At 35.7% G+C, this 12237-nt stretch overlaps 1 protein-coding gene across 5 annotated transcripts in view, besides 2 other annotated features; it reads right to left on the bottom strand.

Annotated features, from left to right (window-relative positions):
- Positions 1-11389, bottom strand: part of CENPW (centromere protein W) — a 143206-nt gene extending 131817 nt beyond the window's left edge. Inside the window, exons 1-3 of one of the 5 annotated variants that reach the window (NM_001286524.2) lie at positions 11060-11389; positions 5186-5299; positions 2629-3038 (exon numbers count right to left, since the gene is read on the bottom strand). In NM_001286524.2, the coding sequence (NP_001273453.1) occupies positions 3012-3038; positions 5186-5299; positions 11060-11230 (312 nt within the window). In that variant the 5' untranslated portion in view covers positions 11231-11389 and the 3' untranslated portion in view covers positions 2629-3011. Of the gene's footprint in view, positions 1-2628; positions 3039-5181; positions 5300-11059 lie in introns of those variants that run through there. The other 4 variants (NM_001012507.4, NM_001286525.2, NR_104462.2 and 1 more) reach the window with 4 other exon arrangements.
- Positions 11170-11219: an enhancer, noted in NCBI's record as "active region_25036". NCBI's record gives its function as "activates an Ori minimal core promoter by ATAC-STARR-seq in GM12878 lymphoblastoid cells {active_cell/tissue: GM12878}" and the evidence as "EXISTENCE:reporter gene assay evidence [ECO:0000049][PMID:35858748]".
- Positions 11230-11499: an enhancer, noted in NCBI's record as "active region_25035". NCBI's record gives its function as "activates an Ori minimal core promoter by ATAC-STARR-seq in GM12878 lymphoblastoid cells {active_cell/tissue: GM12878}" and the evidence as "EXISTENCE:reporter gene assay evidence [ECO:0000049][PMID:35858748]".

The following is a 12237-nucleotide window of genomic DNA, read 5'->3' as shown; positions in this document are numbered from 1 at the left end:
CTAAGTCAGGTAGGGAAGTATGTGGCATATAAACACCCCAGACGACACAGAAAACAAGCCAATACATTTATCATATCACTATTACTATCCTCATTTTGACTTTGGTTTAGTTCAGTCTCTAACTCCCCAACATGAAAATGCTGGAGTTATAATTTTTTACCAAAACAGCAAAATTCCTATCTACAAGAAAGCCTCCCAAAAGGAGGCTTTTGGGTATCACACAGGTATCACAAAAGTCACCCAAAAGGAGGCTTTTGGCTGTGTGGTATCACACGGATAATATCACCTACTTCTACTGACTCTAGCAACTTCCCTCATCCTACTCCACTTACACACACACACACACACACACACTCACTCTCTCTCTTTCTCCTCCACCTTGCCTGTTTCAGGAACAAGGCAGTGGGATTAACTATCACTATATAAGAGATAGAAAATATGGGGAAAACATCATTAAAAAAAAAAAGACATTACCTCTGAGCACATTAGTTCTGTCTTAAAACCAAAATTCCCTAGTCCAGCTCTTGAAGGAAAAATAACATTTTGATATTAATTACATTTAAAGAACTATTCAGCATTAACTACATATTCTAGTTGTTTTTTTTCAAATTTACATTCTCTTGAGAAGTCCTATTTATTTATAACTATTTTTGTTCAGAATATAATTTTATGTTAAACATGTATACTTACATTACAAATAAGATTTAAATTTTTTCACATTAATGCTTTAAAAAATTACTAATTTGGAAACATATATGTATTACTATATTATGCTGAACTATGAATCCATGAGGCTTTCTGTTCAAGACTGACCACACAGGTATTCTTTCCCTTATATCTCATTAAAGTATAAAAATGTATAAGTCAATATACAGATGGCAAATAAGCACACGAAAATATGTTCATCATCAGCTATTATGGACTAAATGTTTGTGTCCCCCAAAATTCTTACATTGAAATCTAATCACCAGTGTGATGGTATTAGGAGGAACGACCTTTGGGAGGTAATTAGGTCATGAGAATAAAGTCGTCATAAATGAGATTAATGTCCTTTAAAAGGAGGCAGAGAGCTCTCTGGCCTTTTTTCCTCCGTATGAGGACAGAATGAGAAGTTAGCAGTCTGCAACTCAGAAGAGGACCCTCACCAGAACCTGACTGTGCTGGCACCATGATCTCAGACCTTCCGCCCATCAAAACTGTGAGAAAAAAATTTATGTTATCTATAAGCTATCCAGTGCATGGTATTTCATTATACCAGCCTAAACTAAGACATTAGCCATCAGGAAAATGTAAATTAAAACCACAATGCTGCATATTCTTGCCAGAACAGCTAAACTAAAAAATAGTAACATTACCAAATATTTGTGAGAATATTAAGAAAGTGGATTTCCCATACACTGCTAATGGAAATGTAAAATGGTACAGCCACCCTGGAAAATCATTTGGCCATTTCTTTTTAAAAAATTAAACCTGAGCCAACCGAACACAGCAGCTTGCACCTGTGATCCCAGGTGCAAGAAGGAGGCTACTCAGGAGGCTAAAGGAGGATAACTTTAGCCCAGGAGTTTGAGGCTGCAGTGTGCTATGATCACACCACTGCACTCCAGATTAAGTGACACAGCAAGATTCAGTCTTTTAAAAAAAATAAATAAAAATTAGGCCTATACTTACCATGAACTCAGAATAAAACTCCCAGGGAAATTAAAATTTATGTCCATATAAAATCCTGCAGATTACCCTTCACAGCGATTTTATTTGTAATAACCAAAACTGTAAGTAACCAAAATGCCCCTCAATTTAAGTGAATAGTTATACAAACTGTGGTAATTCCATACTACAGAATACTACTCAGTAATAAAACGGAACAAACTATTGATACATGTAACAACTTAAATGGATCTCAAGGACAATATACTGAGTGAAAAAAATCCAATGCCCAAAGGTTACCTCTTGTATGATTCCATCCATATGACATTCTCAAAATCACAAAAGTATAGACTTTAGACGGAGAATAGTTCATGGTTGCCAGGGTTTAGGAATGGTGCTAGGGTAGGACACATTTTAAACAAGGTCTAATTGTAAAAGGATAGCACAAAGAGACTTTTTTGGTAATGAAACATTTCTAATTACAGTAATGGTTAAACAAATCTACACCATAAAATGGCAACAGAACTACATGTACACTGTACCTATATGAAATTCCTGGTTTTGATATTATACTATAGTTATGTAAGATGTAACCATTGGGGGAACTGGGTGTACTGTACATGGGACTTCTCTGTACTATCTTTGCAACTACATGTTGAAATCTATAATTATTTCTAAATAAAAAGTTAAAAGTAACAACTATTTGATGATACATAATAAACTTCTAAATTATCTTATTTAGGGGGAAAAATTATCTATTAAATCCATGAGACTTGAAGAAAATAAGTCATTTGCTCCAAATTTCTATTATTTTGGTTTTGGGAGGGAGATAGGTTTTGAAAAACCTACCTGATGTTTATAATTGTCCAGCTGAGAAATTATAACATTACTACTGGCATAATATAAAAGTAGATTGCATTGCTTTGCAAAGACATTAAAAGTTAAAATATTGAAAGTGCACCTAGATTTGACTGCATTTGCCTTTCTTCAGAGATTAAATTCCATAGTTAACTGTGGCTAAATCTAAATATATATAAACTTAATTCTAAGAAGTACATTTTCAAAGTATTTAATATAGTAAGATTTCATTTTTGATACATAAAATATTTGCAGCAGCAACAAAACAAAAGCAAACTGAACTAGAGGACATTTAAAATAAAAATAATAGTAATTCCCATAAAAGGGTTAAATAGTCCTATGCATTTACTTGAGATATTTCATGCCAGAAAAAAAATACAAACACACACATCACTTATAGCCAATATTTAATAATCCCATATTAACTGATGTGTAAAAAATGTCTTTATGATCTGTTACCACCCAAAAGAATGCATCATAACTTTCAAGAATATGTTCTTTGACTTCTAACCTCTGCTCTTCTTTAGAATTACCTGTAAGAGGGAAAAAAATAAGATTCATATTATATCTATGAAAAATAAAACATCATTCCTTAACAAAAAGTTAAATAGTCCTGGGTGCATAATATGCAAGACTGAATTTATAAAACCCAATTTTCCAAATTGGAAATCACCTTCCAGGTGATTAGGGAATCTTTTGTCTTATAGTCTTAGATTTCTCTAAAAACAGTCTTATCTCAATGAATATGAAACATGCCTAGATTCTAAAAACCTGCCTTTATTAGTTACCTCTAGATGTTAATTTCTTCTATTGTAAACCAAAAGTGTCCAGATTAATGGTTTCGAATTTGAAATTTTTAGACAATTTAGTTATCTAAATTAGGAGTTAAACAATACCAATTAAAGAGTTAAACAATATTCTTGAGTCTATATTAGACTCAAAAAGTCTATTATAAATCAGACATTTCACAACTATAAACTAGGACAAATCCACTGCAACATTAAATTTCTTATAGTTGGACTGGAATTATAATCATTTGAGACTAAAACTAGTCATCTTATGCTGAACAACCTGTTAAGTAGATTATTTTCAAAATAATAGTCTGTGGCACAAATAAAAAAAGGAGATTTTTAGTTGTAAAAAGACTGACGGTATTAGTCAGAATATCTCTTTTTTTAAAAAAAAACTTATCTACTATTTTAAGTAAATAAACCTACAGTTTATTAATAAAAATCCTAAATGTAAAAAACACGTGTATATTCTTCAATATCTTAAGCCTTGTTTTTCCCACAGAAAAATATTTACATTGACTTTAATAGTGTAGAAATTTGTTGGAATGTTTATAATTGCAAGATAATTTAAAGGCCCTAGAAAATGCCAAGACATGCACATTTCTAGGCTTCCACAAGACCATCAAATAAATCTGTATCTAGACTAGTACTTCTCTGTCCTACAAGATAATTATCATGGGTACTTCAAAAGAAAGTTTGAATACTCAAATGAATTTACAAAACGCTGAGTATATTATGTACTCAAACTTACAAAATACTAAATGGAGTTCAACAAGTTTCCTTATTGCTATATTTCTCTCATAGCCTTTCATAACTTTACATGACTATAGTTATTTAAGACATTAGGATTATGAGAAACTGGATACAGGGTACATGGGAACTCTAAACTATCTTTTGTACCTTATTTCAAAATAAATCTAAAACAAAAACGTCTACAAAGAGGTAGACTGTCAAAAATAAGTTTCCCTCCTCTATCATCCCCAGTCAACTGTGGTTGCCAGTTTCTTACATATTCTTACAGAAACAAGTTCTACAATAATACTGTGACTAATCAAGGAAGTATAGTATGCAAGGTTATCTACACTTATTTGACAACAGAAGCATCTGAGGTAGGGCCTTGATTAACATCATTTGGAAATAACATTTTCAGGAACATATCTGGAAAACTGCACCGTAGGCAACATATTCTTAACATTATATAAAAATAACAGTAAAAAGCAATCATCTCTACTTATAAGAGATTTTTTTTTCCTTTTTTTGAGACGGAGTTTCGCACTTGTTGCCCAGGCTAGAGTGCAATGGTGCGATCTTGGCACACTGCAACCTCTGCCAAAACAAAGTTAAAAGAAATCAAATAATTGGTGATATGGTTTGGCTTTCTGTCCACACCCAAATCTCACCTCACATTGTAATCCCTCCATGTGGAGGAAGGGAAGTGATTAGATCATGGGGGGCGGTTTTCCCCATGCTGCTCTCCTGATAGTGAGTGAGTTCTCTTTCCTTTATAAATAACCCAGTCTTGGGTATTTCTTTATAGCAGTGTGAAAATGGACTAATACAATGAGGTAATTAGGATAATTTTAAAAGATCAAGAAGAAAGTAAGTTTTGATAAATTTCAAGGTGATATATCTTCTCAGTCTACAGATTAGCAGATTGTAGGAACATGAATGTTTCCTCTAAAGCAGTGGCCATTAATATTACCATTGGAAATTAATAATATACATATGGAGGAAATATAACTCCTTAATTAAAATCATTAATTCATAAAAGGCCAAATATCGACTCAATCAACAAAGCTGAGTAAGGTATACAAATCAGGGAGAGGTGATGAACCGAGTGTTATTTTTGAAGTTTAATTCTTGCTCGAGAAAAGAAATTTGGATTTTACCTTTGCTGCGGCCAGTACATGCTCCTTGTTAATGACTCTACATTTACTCGCACAAGCGTTTGTCCTGGACTCTTCTGCTAATCGATGAACAAACAGTAAACAGTTCAGATGGACCTTTAAAACAGAAAATCCAAGTGGATTTTTAAGCTCAAATACTGATGCATTGAAATAATATTTTTAAAAATTAGTTATCTCAAAATGTATTGTACTATTTACCATTGTGATTAAGTAAATTAACTCTTCTATTTAAAATTACATAGAATTCAGTCTAATATAAGTCCATCTTAGATTCCCTGCAAAGAGACTTCGTCATTGCAATGTATAAAACAAGCTATGCAAGGCTAGACCAAAGGCCATTTTGTAAAGCATCATTACATATCAAAACGTATGTAAGATTCGCTTAGTAACAAATATTCCTGCTTCTGATTCCAAATGGATTTAAATTTATAACATAATTTAAAATTTCCAGAAAATTTTAAATCAAAACATATCAACAACTACATTTTAGGCTATTATTCTACAATCTGAGGTCAAAGATTTTTAAACAGATATATTTAATTTGAAATATTTATTAAAAAACATGTTAATAGTTGAAATTGTTTAAGTTTGCTAAATTGAAAAGTGTATGTACAAAGGTCATTTGTCATCCAACAACTATCATAAAATAACCATACTTACTATTAATAATCTTCGAGCCTCTTTTTAAAAAATTATTTAAAATAGGTAATATAAGCAGACTGAAAAATTTTAAAGTCTATTAAAAAAATATAGTTATGTAAGATATCAGCATTGTGGAAAGCTGGGTAAAGGATACACGGAAACCGTGTACTATTTTTGCACCTTTTGAGTCTATAATTATTTTAAAATAAGAATATAAAACAACAAAGTTTACAAAAGGGTAGTAAACTATCAAAAATAAGTATATTCCCCATCTCATCCCCCAGTCAACCATAGCTGACACCTTCTTGTACATTTTTACAGAAACAAGCTCTACATATAAGCAAAACATATGTACTCATCTTCAGATAATATATATATCAACATTATCGGATTACATATATGTATAAACAAGCTCTGATATGTCATATAAAATAACACTTTGTTAAGTATTTTACTCAAAATCACCATCCAAACCAACAAAAGCCCTAATCTACAAGAACATTCCTTGGAAAAAAGTTAAAGTACATGTAATCCAAGCAGAAGAAAATGTGAAGTGAGCTAAAGTCGTATCTCAATCTCCACTCAAGAATCATATGTAGTACTCTTATTTATATTATTGCACATATCTTCCCCATCCTTTGCTTCTGCCAGGTACCTGAGGGCACTACCAACTTAGATCCAATTAGATAGTGTCTTTACCATGATTTATTTTGTTATTTACATGGTGGCAAGTGATCTTTGCAGTAAGAAGAACAATTTATACACAATACTTAACATTCACTATCTTGTGTACTGCACACTCTCCCACAGTTCACTAAATGTTAAATAACTAGTAATGTGGTGTTTTAATGCTTTATATAATGCAGAAATCTTTAATAGATTGTTATATAGGTGTTTAATAATGTTCTAGTGATATGTGGAGAAAACGGAGGTTTGGGAATTTAAACAATATGAACAATCTATGAAAGGTGGATATTCTTTTGGTACATTTTTGATGCACTATCTTCATTGATTCTCACAAGAACTCTGAGGTAAAGCATCCCAATTCCAATTATTTACATTATACTGTGCCAATTATTTTTTAAACTTTCAATGATAGCCCATTTATTTTGGTAGCAAAAACACCCCATAATATGGCACAATTTCATTTGTTAATCTATTCTTTCTACTTCTAAAGGTAAATAGCTTCCAGATACCCTCAGGATAAATTCCAAATTCCTTAACACTAAATCCCACTTGACTGGGAATCTAGTTTCACCTCTCACTGTTCTAAGCTTCCAGTTCTACACTAGGCCTTTTGAATTTCTCTGAGAATTCAAATGCAACCTTGCCTCTAGGCATCCTACTTGTTTATAGACTTCTCTGAAAAGCCCAACTTCCCCCAATATGTAAGGTTATATTGATCCATAGCATTCTGAACTTTCTATCACTGCATAGACTACATCATGCTGTAATTTCTCACTTAGCTGTCTTCCTCAATGTACTCTAAGGATATGAATTATGCCTAGTCTTTTCAACACTGTATCCCCAGTGTCCCTTAACACATTGCTTAATACATAGTAGGCAGCTAATAATTATTATTGCATGAAGACCCCACTACATCTCCCCAGATAAGGCAAAAAAATTTTTTTTTAAATCAGACCCAATTAAACCACACTGTCTTAAGACTTAATTCATTAACCTAGATGGAATACCCTTTCCTCTTCGTGGCCATGAGCCACGGATACTGTGATGGTTAGTACTGAGTGTCAACTTGACTGAAGGATGAAAAGTATTGTTCCTGGGTGTGTGTGTAGGTGGTGCTGCCAAAGGAAAATAATATTGGAGTCAGTGGACTGGGCAGACCCACCCTCAATCTGGGTGGGCACCATCTAATCAGCTGCCAGCATGGCTAGAATAAAGCAGGCAGAAGAATGTGAAAGTACTTGACTTGCTGAGTCTTCCAGCCTTCATCTCTCTCCCGTGCTGGATGCTTCCTGCCTTTGAACATCAGACTCCAAGTTCTTCAGCTTTTGGACTCTTAGACTTACACCACTAATTTGCCAGTGGCCCTAGGGCCTTCGACCACAGACTGAAGGCTGCACTGTCGGCTTCCCTACTTTTGAGGTTTGGGGACTGGGACTGGGACTGGCTTCCTTGCTCCTCAGCTTGCAGATGGCCTATTGTGGGACTTCACCTTGTGACTGTGTGGGTCAATACTCCTTAATAAACTCCACTTCATATATACATCTATCCTATTAGTTCTGTCCCTCTAGCAAACCCCAATACAGATACTGAGACAAATTAGTATTACTTTTTCAAATCTCACAAAAATTTTTTCAAGCAACCTACATTTATGTCATAAAACAGTTAATTGAGTGGTACTACTCCAATGCGCTAAGGCTTATATTAAAATGGTCAGAACAAAAGTTAGTTTTAGGGTATTTAGCTAGGCATTCTAACTTGAAAAAGGTAAGCTATTCCATCAATAAGTTACTTTTAAAAATCTGCTTGCTTGAAAAAGAAATCAAAAGAAAATTTATAAAGAAATACTTCTTGACAGTCTCAGTTGACAGAAAGACTGGGCCAGTCTGACTTTCTCCTCCCTTTGTCATAGCACTTTTGAATTTTACATGAACTATAAGCACCCAGATATTTGCACAGCATTCCTTTACATTTAACAGATGTTAACTCTCTCCCTAGTACCATCCCTGGGGCTAAACAATCAAATAAGGCATAAAACAAACAAAATAACAAAAAGCCAGTGAAGAATAATAAAATAACACAAAGAAATTATAAATAAAATGCTAGAAATGACATCAATCCACATAGTTGTCATGCATTTCCAAAATTAATTGTAGACTCAGAATGTTGAAGCTATTATGCAAAACACCAGGAATACAAAAATTTCCAAATTCAAGTTCCCAGACTAGTGGCAGAATCAAACCCATAAAGAAAAAGGCAAATGTGTGACAATAGATGATGGAGAAGAAGATAAGATTGATCCTTTCTAAGGACATTAAGGAAAGCGTCACTGAAGTAACATTTGAACTGGATTTTGAAAAAATTGTAGGTTGCCAAGTAGAGTGAAGACATCTTCAAGCAGAAGAAATACCATGTACAAAAGGCAGCATAAAAGTAGATTAATTCTGTGTTAAAGATAATGGGAGACAGAAAAGGAGATATTCATTCTCCTCAAGAAGCTGCATACCACACTAGGAAACATCAGCATATGAAAACTCCTAGACAACAGTGTTAAGAGTCCCAATAGCTCAACTGTATGATGTATACTCTTACTGCTGTCCAAGTTCAGAAAAAAGAGCAGATCAAAACAAACTGCTTTAACTATAGAAAACTTTGTGGATGATGTGGGATGCAAGTGAATTACACTTCTACATAATTTCATTTGATCTTACCTTAGGTCTTTTCATGATTCTAGCTTTTCTTTACAAATGCTGCTCCCTTTAATTTTAAGGTTCCTCTCACTTAACCTTGCAATAACTTTCAGGTGTAGTTTAATGCTAATTCATTGAACTTTTTGCTAACTCATTGAACTGGGTAAGATATGAAGTGTCAAAGGTGAGCAGAAAGCTATAAAGAAACCAGGGTAATCCATGCCACATTCAAGACAGTGAAGGCGAACTGTTTAATGAAAGCCAAACACGACGAGCATACTACCTGGGAAAAGCTACTGACCAAAAGAACATTCTATACCCCATCAATGCAACCGCTTGAAATTTCAACTCACCCACTTTCCCATGCCACCTGGATCCCACCGCACTATGGAGCCCCTCTGTCCATGGGTTCTTTGGAGGAAGAAAGGGGTAGATGTGGGAGGATGCTGACTACCTGAGGAATTTCCACTAAGCCATTTGCACCAGCTAGTGGTCTCTTGGATATCTTTGATCAGGTACATTTCCTCTCCCTCCATTTAGAAGCCCCAGTGAAAGCTCCATAATATACTACGTAAAAATGTTTTGCAAGTGAATTTCATTTGAATTCCGTTCATTTGTGCCACCTCTATCACCAGCATGGGATAGTTAATTGGGGTCGGGGCACAAGACAGCCTGTATTGCCTCTTCTTACAAGATTTAAGAAAGTAACAAAAATAAGGGCAGAAGATAGAAGTAATACTTTTCTGGGGGAAAATGTGTTTTTGTTGTGTTTTGGCTTCAGAGACCAAATAAGGGGAAAGGGGCGATAATTCTATAGTAGTTTAGAAAAGGAAGCAACAGATGGGGTGGCAGTGGAGAAGTCCAGGAAGCAAAAGAGTAAAGAGGAGGTAGAAAAACCAATGTCGTTTAAGAACAGCTAGGATGATTCATGCAGTATGCTCTTATTATCCACAATTCTGTACCTTGATCTCCTGGAAATTATGTGTCCATTTATAATGGCTCCTTTACTCAAAGAGCCAAGGACAAGCTACCGAACATGCCTCCAGTGGTTTAAACCTAGAGAAATAGTGTTCATTGTGCCAGAGGAATATGTGTTCCAGGTATTCAACACACAAACTGAATTTATTTCAAGACAGAAACATTATTATACAGTGGTTTGATTGGGGCTTCTTATTAGGAGAACATTATGCTTCAGGTATTATGGGTCAGATAAGCAGGCTTTAGTAGTCTAGCTTAAAAACTGACTAGGTGTTCTATTACTTGTCTAGCGAAATGAATTAACAGTTGAGAGGACTCTTCCTACAAATAAACTTTCCCATCAGGGTCCTTTAGTAAGCACCCTCACCTAGAGGAAATAAGGCAATGTTTGGTTAAATGCGTAAATAGAGGAGAGACGGAGGGAGCCAAGGGAGGAAAGAGGAGACAGGGAGGGAGGCAAGAAGGGAGGCCCTTAAAAGGCATGTGAGCAATGCCTTTTACAATAGCTAAATAAAAATGACCCAGACTGAATTCCAAAATCTATTTTTTAAAGGGTGATTCTTTCATACCCTTTGCAAGTACATTAATCACGGTGCCAGATTGTGTTCCTAAACAGCAATATTTAAAACTGTAAGCAGTAACTGTACGTTAAGCTCATGTGACTAACAGTCTCCCTTTAAAAAGATCCAGATATTTACTTTTCGGCGCGGCCCGGTACAACTGAGCGCCAGGAATATGAACTGACATGCCAGGGTGGGGCATACGTTCCCTGTCATTGTTGGAACTGCCTTAAACAGGGGCCTGAAAGAGCTATAAATTGGCTCGGGGCGGAAAAACAAAGGCTTAAGGTTATTGCCCTTACCTCTCCCGTGCCCCATTCCCAGCCCGAGAAGGGATGGAATCTCACCAATAAGTCACCACTTTTCTCCAGACGAAGTTGAGGCTTCTTTCGCTTGAAGACTCGCTTTAGAAAGCCACGGGGAGCCTTCCGCTTTATCTGCTTCCTCTGGGAGACTATGGTCGACAGCGCCATCCTCTCTGTCAAGTACCAGCTGCCTCAGCTTCCGAGGTGCTCTCTGTATCGCACACAAGCTCCGGGGACACTGGGCCAGCGAAAACAATCCGGTCCGTATGACGCTTCTTCAGGCAGAAAAACCTCAGTCCGAACGTTCGAATCCGCCGCCAACGGAACGCGCCCGGCGCTCAGTAGTGACGTTAACCCTGAGCAAGCCCCGCCCCCGGAGACGCCTGCCTGTAGGTGGAAAACGCCCACGGTGGGCGGGTCCCGGGAATACCTGACGTCATTGAGAGCCTGCGTCCTCCTTTCATCACTTTCTGTATTATAACTTTTGCTCTGTGGAAGTGTTTCTGCTAGGTTCCCTAGAGATGATTGGAAGTTGTGGAGAGAGAGATTGGTAAGCCAAGGCAGTTCTTCAAGCACTCACTCTATACTGTCCCTAATACCAACGAACAGAAGTTTGTGATGTTTTATCAGGATTCCGACAGCACTAATGCCATGCCTTCCTAGCAAGGAATGCATGATTTTCAGATACTAACAGTTAAGAATTTTACACTTCTACGTAATTTCATTTGATCTTATCTTAGGTCTTTTCATGATTCTAGCTTTTCTTTACAAATGCTGCTCCCTTTAATTTTAAGGTTCCTCTCACTTAACCTTGCAATAACTTTCAGGTATAGTTTCATGCTAACTCACTGAACTTTTTGTTATTTCTTCAAGCTGTTAATTTCTCTATTATCTGTGCTATTATAGAAGTATTAATAGTTATCAAACCTTAATGTGCATCAAAATCACCTGGGGGACTTGTTAAACTACTGTTCGCAGGGCCCAGCTCCCAGTTTCTCATTCACTAGATCTAGGAGATACTCAAAATTTGCAATTCTAACAAGTCAGGGACATTGGCATTTGCTAGTCTGCAGACCAATCTTTGAGATCCGCTGTGATTTTAATTATAATTATCTCTAATACTATCTCTATTGAGATTTCAATATTATGTTATTGTGATCTCACGCACACAAGTG

This window comes from Homo sapiens, chromosome 6 (genome assembly GCF_000001405.40).
Source record: "Homo sapiens chromosome 6, GRCh38.p14 Primary Assembly".
NCBI lineage: Eukaryota > Metazoa > Chordata > Mammalia > Primates > Hominidae > Homo > Homo sapiens.
Note: the sequence above shows the minus strand (reverse complement) of the source record. Positions and strands in the feature narration are given on the sequence as shown.